General features: G+C 39.9%; 1 long non-coding RNA gene across 1 annotated transcript in view; it reads right to left on the reverse strand.

Moving 5' to 3' along the window:
- Window positions 1-4,634: 4,634 nt before the first annotated feature.
- The window catches only part of STK32A-AS1 (STK32A antisense RNA 1), a 57,897-nt gene continuing 42,760 nt past the window's right edge, over window positions 4,635-19,771 (reverse strand). The window contains exons 3-4 of the long non-coding RNA NR_147190.1: window positions 7,511-8,344; window positions 4,635-5,089 (exon numbers count right to left, since the gene is read on the reverse strand). This is a non-coding gene — a long non-coding RNA (STK32A antisense RNA 1). The remainder of the gene's footprint in view (window positions 5,090-7,510; window positions 8,345-19,771) is intronic.

The raw sequence follows: 19,771 nt of genomic DNA on the forward strand, positions 1-19,771 counted from the left end.
AGTTAATGATAACGTATCAATATTGGTTCATTAGTTGTGATAGAGCTACATGCTGAAGTAAAATGTTAATAGTAGGGGAAACTGAGCGCAAGGTATACGGGAATTTCTGTACTGTTGTTGCAACTTTTCTGTCAATCAATCTAACACTATTCTAAAATAAAAATTTATTTAAATAAACAAGAGGCTGAACTCCCACTTGCCAGGAATGCTTCAAGTGGTCTTCACACATTAGAAGGGGAAGATATTAGACTTGACACCTTCTCTGAGATCCAACTCTAAACTTGTATGAGGTCACTTTTCACCTTGAAGAGCCCCCAGGCACATCTCTTTGGCTTAGGTCTATTTTCTCAATGTGGTTGCCATCCCACTCCTCATGCTATGAGGTCTTAGCTTCTAAAGTCTGTGTGCTAATAGCAGCTTCCCCCCACCTGGTTGCTGACTTAAAAACAAGATGTCTTCACAATTCACACCTTTTTGTTTTAAAAGTCTTTCAGGGAAGCAGAAAGCAGATGAGCACAACTATCAACGGGGAGTTTTACAAGGCTTAAGCTAAATCTCAGTTCTCTTTCTGAGATGGTAACTTTTAAAAGTGACTAATGTTTCGTGAGCATATATTCAATGCCAAACACCAGTCTACGCACTTTACAAAGTAATCTTATTTAATCATCACAAAAGGCTACAAACAAGTTACCATTAGCATCTCCATTTTACAGATGAGTACATTGGGTCACAAATTATTTAAGTGACTCATGCAAGTTCATACAATAATAATGGCTAACTGGAATCCGAGCTGTTCTGTATGCAGAACCCATTATGAATGAAATTTGGCAAATGTCTCCCTCTACACAGCAAGTTGGTCATAAAATTCATTCAGAACAGAATGATGAGTCTTCAATCACTTGTCCCATGATATGGTTTGGATTTGTGACCCTACTCAAGTCTCATGTCAAATTGTAATCCCCAAAGTTGGAAGAGGGGCCTGGTGGGAGGTGATTGGATCTTGGGGGTGAATTCCTCCCTTGCTGTTATCATAATAGTGAGTTCTCACGAGGTCTGGTTGTTTGAAAGTGTATAGCACCTCCCCCTTCACTCTCTTCCTCCTGTTCTAGCCATGCAATGTGTGCCTGCATGATTGCAAGTTTCCTGAAGCCTCCTCAACCACGCTTCCTAGAGAGCCTGTGGAACCAGGAGCCAATTAAACCTCTGTTCTTTATAAATCACCCAGTCTCAGGTAGTTCTTTATAGCAGGGCAAGAACAGACTAGTGTATTCCCTTACCTCCAAAGTGTGATTCTTAATCTCAGGCTTTCCAGACAAGTCGGGAAGTAGTGGCTTCAAAATGTAAAAACACATCTTCACTAATTGACTTTTTAAAATTAATTAATTTACAACAGACATTTCCGGCTCTGCCCCATTTCTGAATCTCAGTCATCGATTGCCCTATTTCTATCTCTCACATTAAGCCCATGCCTGGGTTCAGGACTGAAACAGGAATGGGGATGGGCTGCCAAGAGTCTGTTACCTGCACTACCTCCTCATTCAAAACAGCTGAACATTAAATGCATTGATTTTCAGTTCTGGCAAACTATCCCTAGTTTTATAACAGTCTTTTTGAAATGTTATAAATCCCTCCAGATTGGTTAATGCCCATTCAAACAATCTTTTTCCACAGGGAAAATGTTCAGCTAAGGCTTGCTCCAAAATAAAAACAATAATTAGGCTCATAATTATTATTACTTATTAAGCATTTCCTAAGGAATTGGACTGGATGGGTACTTTACAAGACATGTCAATGTATACTAACAGTGATAATTAAATAAGACATTATTATATCCATTTTAGAACTGAAGAAACAAGGCTGGGTACGGCCACTCATGCCTGTAATCCATCCCAGCAATTTGGGAGGTTGAGGCGGGTGGATCACAAGGTCAGGAGTTCCAGACCACCCTGGCCAACATGGTGAAACCCATCTCTACTAAAAATACAAAAGTTAGTCGAGCATGGTGGTGCTCGCCTGTAATCCCAGCTACTAGGGAGGCTGAGGCAGGAGAATTGCTTGAACCTGGGAGGCAGAGGTTGCAGTGAGCCGAGATTACGCACCATTGCACTCTAGCCTGGGCAACAGAGTGAGACTTCATCTCAAAAAAAAAAAATCAAAAAAAAAGAAGAAACAGGCTTAGAAAGGTTACACAACCTTGTTCAAAGTCACACAGATAATACATGGAGGAGTGATAATTTGGGCACAGAATCACCTGATCTGAAGCTTGAGAATGTCCCACTAGCCTACAACACTCCTCCCATTTCTGATCCTTTCCTGGCAAGCCATGGGCTCATTGTTGTGCTGTCTTCCTAGCCTCACACAGGGCCTCTTTTTTCCTCTTTGCAATGGCCTCATCTTGTATGGCACTTTCTCAATTCCAGGGTGTCTTCTTTCTCATCTGATAACAATCACCATGTTAAGTGAAGGTGACCAAAAGTCTGCACTGGGTAACACCTGTGCATCTCACCTGGGGCCCTCTGGAGAAAACCACCTCCTATTTGTTGATAGCTAAGCACTTTGCAGCAAGCTACTTAACCTCTGAAAACCTCAGTTTTTTTCCCCTTCAAATGAACATAATGCTGGCTGTCCTACCTAATTAACATCTATCCAATGCACACTGATCATTCTTGCAGGAGTTTCTCATTCGTAACTGCGTCATTAAATAAAAGCTTGCTGAAGAGGATGGGAAGAGTTACAGGCTATGAGCATTAACTGTGCAGATTCCATGTGACAAGCAACAGGCTAAGCACATTCATGCCATTATTTAACACAACAATCTTATGGTGCAATTTGTTACTGCTCCCATTTCACAGTTGAGATCATTGTGGCTCAAAGATGGTAAAAGACATAAAATATATTACTAGAAAGGAGCAGATATTTAAGTGTATATAAAATATGTTAAAGTATTTTAACAATGGTGAAGAATGAGACCAAGAAATTTTAACTGGATATATGATAAGCAGCATTCGCCACTCAGCTTGCCACTTCGCCTTCTCTGGTCCTCTTTTTCATAAAGTTGATAACCTTCTCTTCATACTTGCCTTGATTTAAACCAAGTTTTCCTGTTAACTTTTCTTCCTAATGAGCACTTTGCCACCCTTACTACTTGCCTTTCTCTTCCACTGTGCAAAAACTCCCAGACTTTGTTGTTTGTATTGAAAAGCCACACCCTTTTGATCTTTAGAACCAATCCATAGTCCATCTTGGGAAATAGATTTCACCTCCCTTCATGTTTCTGCATCTGTAATCAGCTTCTGAAGTCAGAATGCAGAAAGGCTGGAACAAAATCGTCTGTACTTTTCACAAATGCTGATAAGTCAGCCAAGAAAACCTGAATAGTACAAATGCCCTGCTGCAGAGGTTTTGTTTGGTAGCAAGTCAGACACAGCAAGGAGACCAAAAGAAAGCATTAATAATTTTGCCTTCCTCCTGATGTGCTGAACAACAAGCAGCCCCATGTGCTATGATTTCTTGGGAATGCAGTGCACATGGCGGCCTCAACACAGTGAGTGGCCTGATACAATTCAAAGAATGAAAGTCTTGGAGCCTAAAGACCTGATTGGTTCTGCTCTTACTAGGTACACAACCTTGGGCAGGTTGTTTAACTTCTGAGTCATCAGACATAAACTGGAGCTAATATTCTCTTTAGTGATACATAGTCCAGCTTGTATATAAGCCATCCATCTAAAAGTCATCCTTGCTTCTTCTCTCTTCCTTATCCCAACACCACCCAACCTGTCTGAATTGTGTTGATTCCATGATTTAAATATTTCTCAAATTGCATATCCAATCCCACCAGCTATATTAGTTGGCATCATAATGTCCTAAACTAACACTATATACTCCTAGTCCATTTCCCTGTTCCTAACACCAAAATATCCCTTCTCAGTGCATTCAGGTGTCTTGCTAAAGTGTACATCTCATCATCCTGCTCCTGATTAAAATATAGTTCTCATTCTTTACAGAATAAAGTAAAACTTTACCATCACAGGGCACAAAGCCCTCCATGACCTGATCTTACCTGTCTGTATTAGGAATCTTTCAGATGCAAGTGACACCTCTGAAATAGCTTAATCAAAAAGGAGTACGTATTAACTTACGAAACTAAAACAGCCTGCCGAAGTTCCAGGCAAAACTGGGTCCAAAGCTTAGTCTCATCAGGAAGCTGTCTCTCACCCTCCTTTGCTTGGCTTTCCTCCAGAGTAACTTTATTCCTTATTAGGTTCTTCCTGCTTCATAATAAATTGGCCCCCAGCAGTTTCAGGCCTACCTAGCATCTATTTAGCAATCCCTCTTTACTCCAGCCTGCCCCGAGAGTGACTTTTTCTCACTAATTTTAACAAAAGTCACAAGGCAGAATCTCAGTGGTCTGTCCTGGATTATTTGCTCAACTCTTTACAAACACCGTACCGTAGTGGGGATATGATGGTTAGGCAGGCACATCCAGGAGGCACCTGAACTACATGACTTAAGATCAGGGTTACCCCCGACCCACCCACACACATAAATCAGACTGCTATCACCAAAATAAGAGAAAATGAATGGTAGCCTAGGAAAATGACACCTACCCAAAGGAACTTCTCCCCTACTCGAGGTTCCAGAGTTTAGTGGCTCAAAACAACCATTTTATTTTGTGCATGGCTTTTTGGAGATCAAGAATTTAGAAAGGGTTCAGCTGTGCAGTTCTTGGTTGGAGGCTCTTCTGTGGTTGCAGTGAGACAGATGTCAGTTGGGGCTGGCGACTCGTGGAGGCTCCATGGAGCTGAGTGTCCAAGATGGCTTCCTCATGAGAACAATTGTTGCAGCCAGGATGGAGCTCAGCTGGGCTGGGAACTGAATGCCTACACGTGGCTTCCCCAGCATGAGAAGCTCAGGGTGCATGGACTTCTTAGTCAATAGCTCTGAGGTCCAAGCACTGCATTTCAGCGCAAAGGGGGAAGCTGCATCACCTTTTCTGGACCTAGCCTCAGAAGCCATGCAGTGTCACTTTTCTGCATTCTGTTGATCACAGGGATTCTCAGAGTCAAGGACGGGGACACAGACTGCACCTCTGAACAAGAGAAATGTCAAGTAATTTGCAGCCACAATCATTTTCTATTGTTCTTCGAATATGTTCCCATCACTTCAACATTTTTTTTTTTTTGCCTTTAGGAATGTGCTTCTCTGTCTGGAATGTCCTTTTTTTCTTCTATCTCCCAAGCATTACTCACCCTATGAGACACACACCCCCTGCAAAGCTTCCCTCTCCCCACCACATAGTAGCATTGGTCCCTTTCTCTGCAACACCACATTCCAAAAGTACCTTTATAATTATAAAACTTTGTGCCTCTGTCTCTATCAGCAGGCTATGAACTCCTTGAAGGCAAAAACCAAGTCTTACCTCCCTGCTTCACACATTAACCGTCTCTTATAGGCTAATTGTGTCATGTTTGCCTCATGGCAGATTTAGATTATACAGCCAAAGAGTTTCCAAATGTTGAAGTGTTATTCAAACAAAGGTCGTCATTATCCATAAGTAAGCCTTTTACTGAAAGAATGTAATAACTTCTCGTGATAGCTTTGCACCTGACAAATTCTAAATGGATACTCCATTTAACTGTTTAAAAAAAAGTTTAAGATTTTTTTTTTTACTTTCTTTCTCTGGCTTAAATAAGAGTGACGTCTAGTTGTTTGTTCTTTATCTGTTATTTAGATCACTGTTCCCCAGGTTTTATCAACCAGTCGCCTCTCCACAAGCCTATTGTATCAGGTCAATCCTTCTCTACTTTCTTCATAGTTTTGTACCTAACTCTTTGTAACACCTGATTTTCGTGGATCTAATTCTCCTATACACCTGTGTGTGTGTATCCCACATGCACATATGTTTTCTAAATGCCAATAAATAAGTAGTAATACATTTGAAACATTGTTATATGAAACACATACAAGAAATTTGAACAGAAAAAGCACAAATGAAATGTGTTCAATCTCACCAGTAGTCTTAAAAGTGATCATGAATACTGCAACCAAAAACATTTCACACTTGTATGATAGGCAGAAATATTTAAAAGACTTAGAATTTGAAGAAATAAGATATTTTACATGTTGATGGTATGAAATGATACAATTCTTCGGGGAAGAATTGATACATTTCTTTGGGGAACTATTTGCCAACATATAAAGTTAATGAAGCTGAGACTATTTATACCCTATAACCCTGCAATGCCATTTCTTGGAATACAAAGTTATTTCCATATGTTCATCCTCTGATGGGTGGACAAATAATTTGTGACAAATATTTATAAAATGGAATGTTATACTGCATTAAAAATAACCAAAACTGTAGGGATCAATATAGATGAATCTGGAAAAAAATCACATTGAGGGGGAAAAAGCAAACTACAGGAAAACTACTATATGACAATATTTACATAAAATTTCAAAAACAAGTGAGGAAATCCTAAAAATACTTAAGCTAACATAAATTTGTAGTAAAAGCATATATACCTGACAAAAATGATAAATGCCAAAATTAGATTTGTAGTTACTTTTGCAAGTCAGAGAAGAGATTCAACGGGATTGGTCATGACATTTGTTCTTAAATGGTGGTGGATACCTCATGTTTGTTATACAGCTCTTGGTATCTTTTTGTATGTCCAGAATAATTGTATTTGTAATAATAAATTTTAAAGAGAAAAAGCTTATACTATCATTGAAAGATGTTTAAAATATAAGCATACTTGTATACTTATAAACTTATATACTTATATACATAAAATATATACTAACACACACATGCACCACCCATTAAAAAAACTCAATGATCATGAAAACATACCTGCAAAGTAAAAGAGTGGAAAGAGATACAAGAAAATGTTATGGTAGTTGTAGCAGCTGGTTTGGAATTATGATTGCTTTTAGTTTTTTATTTGTGTTTTCTGCTCCATTTTCCCTAGTGAACATAATTAGCTCTTAATGAATCCGAATTAATATTTTCTAATGTCATGTTTGTAATAAATACTGACAATCAGTCCACTTGTCCTGATGTGTCTTTAAGAGGCAAATAGACTCAGAAAAATACTCAGAGTTGCGTCTCTGTATACAATACCATTTGACCTAGTTGAGAAAACAATTTTAAAACAGGACAATATCCCAATCTTTTGTAAGCTTACCAATTAAAAACAGATGACAAAAAAGTGAAATAGGCCTATAAATTGAGCATAAAAAATTGCATTTGAATTTCGGTGCTCTTTGACATTTAGACATAAGGCTGGTCTCCACTCTGTCTTTTGATTCTGGAGAAAAGCTAATGTCTTTAACAAGAGTGTGAAATAGCTGTCCAAACATGTCATTCTTGCCACTGCCTTTATTCACACCAAATGTTCTACTTTCTCTTTCAAATGAGGAAAAGATAGCACTGCAACCTTCCCCCAACTATAGGAAATGGATATAATTGAAGCATGATTTGTGTTGGGTCATGTTTTTCACTCACCTCCTTAGTGAAGATGCCTCCCCGCCTGAGAGGAGCCAGCTCCGTGTGGGTGTTCAGTGCTTCCAAAACTTGCTATCCAGCCCACCTTGTGATATAACAGAAATAACCAAAATGGAGCAAGTTTTCCTGCAGGATTTCACTTCTACCAAAAAGAAAAAAGAATAACAGCTCTCCCAGGTTACATAAAGGACTCCAAAGGGTTCTGGAAATACAGGAATGGTTGGTAATCTGGTGGGTCATTTTACAAATACCTTAGGAGGAATTGATCATCATAGAATCCTCACCACCTGAATTGGGAGCCTTGGTGAACACGTGCTTAAAAATGTAACACCTGAATTTTATTTGGTGCTCCCCTGTGCTCTATATTGAGTTAAATACTTTACATTCAATGTCTCAATGAATCTTCCTGGCAACTTTATTAGGAAGGTTTCATTTTATTAGTTCCCATGTTACAGATGGGAAAATTGAAGCTCAGAGAGAAGTTTAGTGGTTTGTAAAGGCCATGAAAGTAGTAAATGATGGAGCTGGGATTTGGATCCAGGTAGCCTGTCTGATGCCTGAACCTCTCTGCACCTGTCTTTGGAATCATTCAGTGATCAGTGCTTTCACCTATATCATCCCTATTACTGCTCCTATAGCCATTACTGGTGGATATGGTAATCTCTGTTTACTGATGAAGTAGCTGAGTCTCTGAGAGATCAAATCACTTGCTCCCCAAAACCAGAGCTATCTAGCTTCAAAATCAATGTATTTAGCAGTAGGCCACATTCTTTTTCATAGACCCACAGCCAGGACAGAGTGATTCCAAGTCTCTTCTTCCCTCTGTTTCTCCATCTGCAAAAAAAAAAAAAAAAAAAAAGAGAGAGAATCATATTTTCTCTGTTGAAAACTGCAACAGTTTGTGTGAAGAACCAAAGAGATTCAATGTCAAAGAACTTTGAAAAGTATGAAGACATAAGGGATTCATATTTACACCCATATTTCAGCTAAGTTTCCTTATCTGGCATCAACAATTAGAAAACGCCAAGTCTCTCCCACTCGTGCTGATAAGGCTGTGACTAATAATGTATTCCCTACTTTCCTTTATAGCAGGACTCAGATCATTGTTTGTATCCAGCCTTTTCCCAGACAGCCCTGTACTTTAAGACTGATACACCTGTAACCCCAGCAGCTTGGGAGGCCGAGGTGGGCAGATCACCTCAGGTCGGAAGTTTGAGACCAGCCTGACCAACATGGAGAAACCCCGTTTCCTCTAAAAATACAAAATTAGCTGGGTGTGGTGGCCCATGCCTATAATCCCAGCTATTTGGGAGGCTGAGGCAAGAGAATTGCTTGAACCCAAGAGGCGGAGGTTGTGGTGAGCCAAGATTGCGCCATTGCACTCCAGTCAGGGGAACAAGAGTGAAACTCCATCTCAAAAAAAAAAAAAAAAAAATTGATATGGTTTGGCTGTGTCCCCACCCAAATCTCATCTTGAATTGTAGCTCCCATAATCCCCACATGCCATGGGAGAGACTCAGTGGGAGGTAATTGAATCATGGGGGCAGGTTTTCCCATGCTGTTCTCATAATAGTGAATAAGTCTCATGAGATCTGATGGTTTTATACAGGGAAGTTCCCCTACACATGAGCTCTTGCCTGCTGCCATGTAAGATGGGTCTTGCTTCCGCTTTGCCTTCTGCCATGATTATGAGGCCTCCCCAGCCAGGTGGAACCGTGAGTCCATTAAACCTCTTTTTCTTTATAAATTACCCAGTCTTGGGTATGTCTTTATTAGCAGCATGAAAACAAATACAAGATTAAGCTGCCTTCATCCCCAGGTTCAAGGGTGGACACTGACAGGTCTAAGTTAATCAAAGTAATCTCAGTCCCCTGAATATAGTGATTCTTTCAGTTAACTTTGACTTAAGACAAGCAGCCCATGTATTCCCCTAACTAGGAGATTGAATTGAATTTGGACCAATTAGGTGCGTATTGATTATATGCTATGTAGCTGAGAAGCCTGAAACCATAATAGCTATTGTCCACTGCAAGGGAGGGTGGTCATAGGACAACACTGATGATATCAAAAGTAATAAAAACTTAAAAAAATGGGCTGGGCACAGTGGCTTACACCTGTAATCCCAGCACTTTGGGAGGCTAAGGCAGGCAGATCACCTGAGGTCAGGAGTTCAAGACCAGCCTGGCCAACATGGTGAAACCCCATCTCTACTAAAATTAGAGACTATAAAAATTAGCCAGGCATGGTGGTGTGCGCTATATTTCCAGCTACTCAGGAGGCTGAGACAGGAGAATCGCTTGAACCTGGGAGGAGGAGGTTGCAGTGAGCCTAGATCAAACCATTGCATTCCAGCCTGGACAACAGAGCAAGACTCCGTCTCAAAAAAAATGTTATTTATATTATTATGCTCAAGTTTTTGACAGTTTCTGTCCAACATCTGATGATCCTCCACCCTTCTTGAAGGTGATTATTTTTAGGACATCCTCATTTAAACTTGCATATTTAATCTCTGTCTCATCCCTAAGTCATTAATATTATTGCATCCAATTACTTTATATGAAAAGGCAATCTAATCTTCGCCTCGTTGTCTCATTTCCTAAAGCACTAAAACTTCATGTTGACTTTTGGGGCACGCGGGGAGAGATGTTTCCTAGTACTGCATTTTACAAATTAATGTTTGTTAGGCATAATTCCTTGAAATGGACTTGTGCTCTCTGGGATTCATCTTACTTTGTAAGTCGGAAGCACCTTTTCCTTCACTGAGAAGTGCCACTGACTGTTTAAGACTCTACTTTTTACATGTAAAGCAAGAAATATTAGTAAAATAAGGTAAATAACTTACTTTTTAGTATTAAAATGCTGTTGTCAAAGAATTGTATGCCAATGCTCAAAAAATAGATGTTTCTTACATCTCCTTAAAAGAGGAGTTTTGAAATAGAAAACAGATAAATGGGAATGTTTTATTCCACCCCAGAGCTGACTTCGTATAAGGACTTCGGGTTTCTGCATTTGCCTCCCAACCCCAAATTTTATATTTTTGGTGGCCAATTTCTTGTGGTCTGGAAGAAGCTAATTTACATTAACTAGCTCCCAGCAATTGCCTGTCCTTAAAGGCTCTCAAATCCACTTCTTCTTTTGCCCATCACAACAGACACTGCCCAGATTCAGGGCCCCATCACTTCCACCTTGCTGACCACAATAGACTTCTCACCATTGTTTCTCACTCCTGTTTCTCGTCCAGTGTCTGCACCTTGTTGCTGCTGGAGCTTTCTTTTTTTTTTTTTTTTTAATATATATATATTTATTATACTTTAAGTTCTAGGGTATATGTGCACAACGGGTAGGTTTGTTACGTATGTATACATGTGCCACGGTGGTGTGCTGCACCCATTAACTCGTCATTTACATTAGGTATTCTTCCTAATGCTATCCCTCCCCCCTCCCCCCACTCCACAACAGGCCCCAGTGTGTGATGTTCCCCTTCCTGTGTCAAAGTGTTCTCATTGTTCAATTCCCACCTATGAGTGAGAACATGCGGTGTTTGGTTTTTTGTCCTTGGGATAGTTTGCTGAGAATGATGGTTTCCAGCTTCACCCATGTCCCTGCAAAGGACATGAACTCATCATTTTTTATGGCTGCACAGTATTCCATGGTGTATATGTGCCACATTTTCTTAATCCAGTCTATCATTGTTGGACATTTGGATTGGTTCCAAGTCTTTGCTATTGTGAATAGTGCCGTAATAAACATACACGTGCATGTGTCTTTATAGCAGCATGATTTATAATCCTTTGGGTATATACCCAGTAATGGGATGGCTGGGTCAAATGGTATTTCTGTTCTAGATCCCTGAGGAATCGCCACACTGTCTTCCACAATGGTTGAACTAGTTTACAGTCCCACCAACAGTGTAAAAGTGTTCCTATGTTTCCACATCCTCTCCAGCACCCGTTGTTTCCTGACTTTTTAATGATCGCCATTCTAACAGGTATGAGATGATATCTCATTGTGGTTTTGATTTGCATTTCTCTGATGGCCAGTGATGATGAGCATTTTTTCATGTGTCTGTTGGCTGCATAAATGTGTTCTTTTGAGAAGTGTCTGTTCATATCCTTCGCCCACTTGTTGATGGGGTTGTTTGTTTTTTTCTTGTAAACTTGTTTGAGTTCATTGTAGATTCTGGATATTAGCCCTTTGTCAGATGAGTAGATTGCAAAAATTTTCTCCTATTCTGTAGGTTGCCTGTTCACTCTGATGGTAGTTTCTTTTGCTGTGCAGAAGCTCTTTAGTTTAATTAGATCCCATTTGTCAATTTTGGCTTTTGTTGCCATTGCTTTTGGTGTTTTAGACATGAAGTCCTTGCCCATGCTTATGTCCTGAAGGGTATTGCCTAGGTTTTCTTCTAGAGTTTTTATGGTTTTAGGTCTAATATTTAAGTCTTTAATCCATCTTGAATTAATTTTTGTATAAGGTGTAAGGAAGGGATCCAGTTTCAGCTTTCTACATATGATACAAAAGCCTGGCAGAGACACAACAAAAAAAAAAGAGAATTTTAGATCAATATCCCTGATGAACATCGATGCAAAAATCCTCAATAAAATACTGGCAAACCAAATCCAGCAGCACATCAGAAAGCTTATCCACCATGATCAAGTGGGCTTCATCCCTGGGATGCAAGGCTGGTTAAACATACACAAATCAATAAACGTAATCCAGCATATACACAGAACCAAAGACAAAAACCACATGATTATCTCAATAGATGCAGAAAAGGCCTTTGACAAAATTCAACAACCCTTCATGCTAAAAACTATCAATAAATTCGGTATTGATGGGACGTATCTCAAAATAATAAGAGCTATTTATGACAAACCCACAGCCAATATCATACTGAATGGGCAAAAACTGGAAGCATTCCCTGTGAAAACTGGCACAAGACAGGGATGCCCTCTCTCACCACTCCTATTCAACATAGTGTTGGAAGTTCTGGCCAGGGCAATCAGGCAGGAGAAAGAAATAAAGAGTATTCAATTAGGAAAAGAGGAAGTCAAATTATCCCTGTTTGCAGATGACATGATTGTATATCTAGAAAACCCCATCATTTCAGCCCAAAATCTCCTTAAGCTGATAAGCAACTTCAGCAAAGTCTCAGGATACAAAGTCAATGTGCAAAAATCACAAGCATTCTTATACACCAATAACAGACAAACAGAGAGCCAAATCATGAGTGAACTCCCATTCACAATTGCTTCAAAGAGAATAAAATACCTAGGAATCCAACTTACAAGGGATGTGAAGGACCTCTTCAAGAAGAACTACAAACCACTGCTCAACGAAATAAAAGAGGACATGAACAAATGGAAGAACATTCCATGCTCATGGATAGGAAGAATCAATATCATGAAAATGGCCATACTGCCCAAGGTAATTTATAGATTGAATGCCATCCCCATCAAGCTACCAATGAGTTTCTTCACAGAATTGGAAAAAACTGCTTTAAATTTCATATGGAACCAAAAAAGAGACTGCATTGCCAAGTCGATCCTAAGCCAAAAGAACAAAGCTGGAGGCATTAAGCTACCTGACTTCAAACTATACTACAAGGCTACAGTAACCAAAACAGCATGGTACTGGTACCAAAACAGAGACATAGACCAATGGAACAGAACAGAGTCCTCAGAAATAATACGACCCATCTATACCTATCTGATCTTTGACAAACCTGATAAAAACAAGAAATGGGGAAAGGATTCCCTATTTAACAAATGATGCTGGGAAAACTGGCTAGCCTTATGTAGGATGCTGGAGCTTTCTTAAAGCGAATCTGATAATCACATCACTCTGCTATGTAAAGCCTCTCTGGCTGTCTATTATCCTTGATAACATTCCAACACCACAGCCCTTTATGATCTGGCCCTGACCTGTGGACAGACACATGTGCAGTCACTTCTGTCACCATCTCTGCTCTGTTACACTTGCTCATTGCAGCTACAATATCAGGTCATACCTTCTGACTAATAGAAGGGGGACAAATTTGTTTTCTTTTTTTTTCTTTTCTTTTTCTTTTTTTTTTTTTTTTTGATGGGGTCTCACTCTGTTACCAGGCTGGAGTGCAGTGGCATGATCTCGGCTCACTGCAACCTCCAACTCCCGGGTTCAGGTGATTCTTCTGCCTCAGCCTCCCAAGTAGCTGGGATTACAGGCACATGCCACCACACCCAGTTAACTTTTTGTATTTTTCATACAGATGGGGTTTCACCATGTTGGCAAGGATGGTCTCGATCTCCTGACCTCATGATCCACCTGCCTTGGCCTCCCAAAGTGCTGGGATTACAGAAATGAGCCACCCCGCCCAGCCGACAATTTTTTTTTTTTAATTTTTAAGTTTAAAGAAAAACTTTTAGAAAAATGAGAGGTTTTCTTCTATATATTTTACTAAGTTTTGCTCCCCTCACATATAGCACTTTCAAGTCCCTGGCATTGTTTAAGTATAGTGCAAAGTAGGAATCTAACTTTATTGTCTTTATTGTGAATACCTAGTTGACTTAGCACTTACACAACAAATATTCTTAAGGTGGTCATTGTCAATTTTTGGAATATTAGCTAAAACATCTTAGAAATGTCTTTTCAGGGGAGGCAAAGCTCTTTAAAATTTGATGCCACCCAGTTTTTCAGTGCAGAAAAAATTTCCTAAACACGATACAAAGAACACAGTTCAAAAACAAAAAAGAGAGTCAGCATATTAAACTACATCAACAGGTTCAATTAGCAAAATGAAAAGAGCTATAGACTAGAAGTATACATTTATCACCCATTTATTTGACAAAGGACTAGTATCTAGGACATATAAGGAATTTTTATAAATCAATAAAAAGAATAAACAAAAAACCCCAACACAACAGAAACATGGGAAACGTTTTTGAACAGGCCAGTTGCGGAAGAGAAAACCAGGTAAACTTGTTTAAAAAATGCTAAATTTCTTAGCAATCAGGATACTCATGTTAAAAAACATGATCAAAATGCAGTATGCACATAAAAGGGTTAAAAGGGTACATACACATCTGATATTATGCCTTTTTTTTTTTTTACCATAATGATAAAACACACACACGCTGAAAAGCAGTATCACACTCACCAGAATGGCAAAGACTAGAAGTCCGTGGGTACCAAATATTTTCAAGGACAAGAGCAGGTCCTTCATGTACCCATCATGCACTGCTAATAGGAATGTACATTAGTACAGCTGCCTTGGTACAGTACACATTTGTTTTGTTTAATGGACAATTTTGGGGGCCTTGAGGCTTTGAATATGGGTTATGGTTTTTTAATCTGGAGCAAGATCTCAGATTACAGAGTGAATAACACATGGGATTCAAATGGCTGTATTCAGAGATAAAGCAGAGGGCCAGAAAAGCATCAATCCCCCAGGACCAAGCGTAGGCCAGGAGGTCTGGATATGTGGACAGAGGAACAGAGCAGAAAGGGTCACAACAAAGGAGGAGAGAATCACCAAGGCTCTCTTCAGCCTGACTGTAGCACTCCATAAAAGTGTCTGCAGCCTCCCCTGGGGGTGGGAGGTAATAAGGATACTGAGTCAATTTCAAGCAATCAGCAAATCCCTTTAAACTAGATCCAGAATTTATATACCTCCATGTTGAAGAAGGAAGAGTCAGTATTCTCCAAGGTCTCACAGCCAGAAAGCTGTGCTACCAGGATTCACAGCTATGCTTCGCTTTCAGCTTCAATACTGGTCATTTTGTTTCAAAAACTAATCCTGCCTATTATTCCTCTTCTCTTTCAGAATGAATAAGAAAATTAACCATCCAATAGGCATTGAGTGGAATCTTGGTTATAAGACTGTGAAAAATAAATATAGCTCAAGACACTGTCTGTTTTAGTCTCAAGGCTCTTGACTTATGAAGTGGCTGGGCACTATTTATTTAAACATCAATATGTTTTGTTTCATGATTTCTCTCTCCCTTCCATGAAGATAGCCAGGCCCTTTGTGTTTCCTTTTCCTAGGAATTTTTGCAAAGGTAAAGTAGAGGTCGCTGAGGACAGCTCTCCTCTATTCCCTCCCTCCCCATTCTCTCTTCTTCCTTCTTTCTCCTTTGAGTGAAAATTTGGGCTTTTATCGTATTAGTCTGTTCTCATGCTGCTAATAAAGACATACCCCAAACTGGGTTATTTTATTTTGTTTTTGAGACAGAGTCTTGCTTTGTCACCCAGGCTGGAGTGCAGCGGCACGATTTTGGCTCACTGTAACTTCTGCCTCCTGGTTCAAGTGATTCTCCCACCTCAGCCTCCCAAGTAGTTGGGACTACTACAGCCAGAGAAAGGCTATCGTCTCTAATACATCTTTGCTGCTGTTGATCAAAGGCTTCCTGACTCGGAGACATACCTGGAGAAACAGGGGCCTAGACTCCCAACACAGGCAAGGGTCCTTCAGGCAAGAAACACAGCAGCAGGTGCTTGATCTCAGGAGACCAGACAGGCTTGGACAATGGACATCCCTCGGTACCCAGTGTGGACAGAGGCTCCCAGAACAGGCACCTTCTGGACTCTTTGGCACCTTTGTAATTGGGGTGGGGAGAGTTGGGGGGGCGGAGCTTCAATAATGACAGAGTACACTTCTCATCAATCTGGCAGGATGGGAACTTAGTCACAGTTTGATTTATGAACAACAAATGTAACATTTCTTGCACCCCCTTGTTCGTACCGTGTTAAGACTCGTACCGACTTTTACACTAGAAGTGGTAGATTGTGAGAGTCGAAGTAATCCCTAAAACTTGCCCAGCCTCATCATTTCATTGTCAAAATCAATCTGATGCCGCAAGCGGAGTGATTCCGAAGGTTGGAGGGTCACTAATGCAGGAACACACAGTAAGCAAGTATCCTGGCATTTTATCCAGCAATGTCTCCACGGCTCACGTTGCTGGTTGAAAAAGAATAGTGTCCTGAAAAGCTGGGGAATCTCAAGGCATTTTAAAATGAAAAACAAGATAAAACAAAACAACGATAGAAATGAAGCTATGAAGGCGCGGCCAAGTAACGCTCAGAGCTGTTGATTTCAGAATCAAACTCTGACTTAGACTGCCCCCTGGTGGATAGAAATAAAAGTGTCTCTGCTCTGCAAAGGGAGCTCGTAACAGATGAAAGAAATGCGAAAATCCTTCTGTTCAAATTCAGGTCATCCTTTAGAGGCTTTAAACCCTTTAATTAATATGACGCTATGACTGCTATCACAAGGAAATGGTAAAGTGTAGATGTTAACATGGGCTTTTAACAAAACTGCAGGTTAGGTCCCAGCTCTGGAACTCTGAAGTTACCCCCATCTCTCTGAGACTCATTTTCCCCCACTGTAAAATGGGCACAATAATAAGACGTTCCTTATAGGGTTGTTTTGAGGACTAAAGAAAAAAAATCTATGTAAGAGTCCTTAGAAAAGTGCTGGGTGTGTAAGAGCTCAATATAGAAACTCTTCTTCTTCTCATTGTTGCCATTTATTGCCATCGTGATAACTTTGTGAAAAATACTAATATGCACATGAAGTCTTCATAATTGGGAAAATTATCAAGGAACATGATGATGTGCATTTTCCGTATATTCTATTACTTCTGTAAGAAGTTTCTGTATATTTACCTTAATGTTTTCTGCATATTTACAGAAAGTTTACAGTTATGTCACCTAACAACAGGGATATGTTTAAAGAAATGTGTCTTTAGATTTCAACACTGTATGAATATCCTAGAATGTGCTTACACAAACCTAAATGGCATAGCTTACTACACACCCAGGCTATCTGATATTGCCTATTGCTCCTGGGCTTCAAACCTATAGCAGGGGTGTCCAACCATTTGGCTTCCCTGGGCCACACCAGAAAAAGAAGAATTGTCTTGGGCCACACATAAAATACACTAACAATAGATAAAAAGATTTTAAAAATCACAAAAAAAAACCTCATAATGTTTTAAGAAAGTTTATGAATTTGTGTTGGGCCGCATTCAGAACTGTTCTGGGCTGCAGGCAGCCCATGGGCCACGGGTTGGACCAGCTTGTTAAGCAGCGTGTTACTGCATTGAATACCATGGGCAATTGTAACACGATGGGTTTGTGTGGCTAAATATACCTAAACATAGAAAAGGTGCAGCAAAAATACAGTATTATAATCTTATGGGAACCTTCTTGTATATGGGTTATATATTTTTGTCATTGACTAAACTGTCATTATGCAGTGCATGGCTGTGTACCATTTCTGTATATTTAACTTGGCTTTCTGTATATTTACCTAAATGTTCATTCTCCACTTATAAAAACACCCTAAAAATTCTCTTACTATTGATTTTTACTTCTGTCCTTTTTTCATTCAATAAGAGTGGAATAAAAACTGAAACAGAAGTGTCAACTTGTTTTAGGCCTTATTTGTAAGGAGAGAATGACTAATTTAAAGACTATCCAGAAAACCACCACTTATGCTGCAGCATCTGTTGTATAGAGGCATTAATAAGCCTTTGTCTTCATGTCAGTTAGCTATTATTGTGTAAAAGCCAACTCACAAGTTAGTGGCTTAGAACAATAATGACTTCTTACTTGTCCTGATTCCAGGGGTTGCTTATTAATTCCTCTGGTCCATCGATCTCAGATGGCCTTGCTTGCATAGCTGGGCCCTCCCTCCACATGGTCACTCATCCTCCAATAGGCTACTTTGGGCTTATCATATGGTGGCCAAGAATTTCCACCAGCAAGACAGGGCAGCAGGCCCCAACCCCCAAGCACTTGATTACTACACATTTGCCAATACCCCATTAGCCAAGGCAAGTTACATGGCCAAGCCCAGGTTCACAGGATGGAGAGATGGGCCCCCATCTTGTTTGGAGGAGCAGCAAAATCATATTGCAAAGGAGGGTGCATGCAAGCATAGGGGAAATTAGTGGCAATTTTTATTTTTGCAAACTACCACACTTCCTGAGTTTCAGGCTCTGATAAAACACGGGGGATATGAGCCAGACAATAACAACAAAAGCCTAAATAATAGCAGCTGACATCCATGGAGTGCCTTCCATGAGTCTCATGCTTCATGCCTATGTGAACCAGGCTACTACTGAAGGCCAGAGAAGATTTTTAAGAAGGAGGCTATGGCAACATGTAGTTCACATACTCATTTTGCTGCTCAGCTCCACTCAGTTGCTGTCATGTGGGTATGAGGCTCAAGGTTGGTAGATACTCAGATTTTTCAGGAGATGGTGAAACCTGGATTGTTATATAAAATCTGCTGATATTTAAATGTTGACAACTCATTCCCTTTTGTAACTTTGTGCTGGAACTAATCATCTCTTCTGAGGGGGCAGAGGAAGACCAGTTTAGATCCTTTTGCTTGCTCATGCTGGGACGAAGTGATTTGCATCAGTATGAACACAGGAGTACTATTTTCCTTTGAAAATGCATGATGTATGAAGTGGGAGGAACCCCAGAGCAACAGCAGCACTTGCCAGGAAAAGATGCCCCAAGACTGAATGGGGCTTTTACAGTTGAGGCTTCCGGGGCATTTGCTAGAGGAGACAACACAGCACAGTGCTTACGTGTGTGGGTTTTACAGTCAGATGGACCAACTCTGCTGATGATATTCCTCTCTTCTACTTAACTTTTAAATCTCTTTCTAGAACTCAAAAGCACAACATATGGAGCCAGACTGCCCAGGTTTGAATCCCAGCTTTGCCACTTACCAGCTATTTAAATTTGCTATTATCAAGGTCTTGTCTATGTTCAAAGAGCACTTTGTATATAAAGATACAAAGTACTTTTCCCTGGGTAATTTTAGTTGCCTGCATCTCTGCTTTCCTCACTCAGCATACCATAATTACCTAATAATCATATGAATAATACAGAAAATATTCATAGAGCTTTTCACTTAAACTACCTTATGGGTTGAGCAATTTACATACATTGTCATTCAATCCTCACAACTCTAGGAGAGCAGCATTCTTTTTATTCCCATTTTATAGATGGAGAAACAGAGAATTAAGTAACTTGTACCCAATTTACACAGTTAATGAATCAGTAATGTTGTCATTTCAATTCCAACAGATCAGCTGAAGATGTTACCCAAATTGGAATCCGCAGGTTCTTGGGATGTCCAGGGACATACTTTTGAGGTCTGCAAGTTCTCTAAACATTTTTAAAATTTTTAAATTCATTTCAATATACTAAAACACTATCAGCACTTGTTGAATATTTGAATGGCCACTTCAGTCCCCGAGTTCA

Source organism: Homo sapiens, chromosome 5 (assembly GCF_000001405.40).
Source record: "Homo sapiens chromosome 5, GRCh38.p14 Primary Assembly".
NCBI classification, from domain to species: domain Eukaryota; kingdom Metazoa; phylum Chordata; class Mammalia; order Primates; family Hominidae; genus Homo; species Homo sapiens.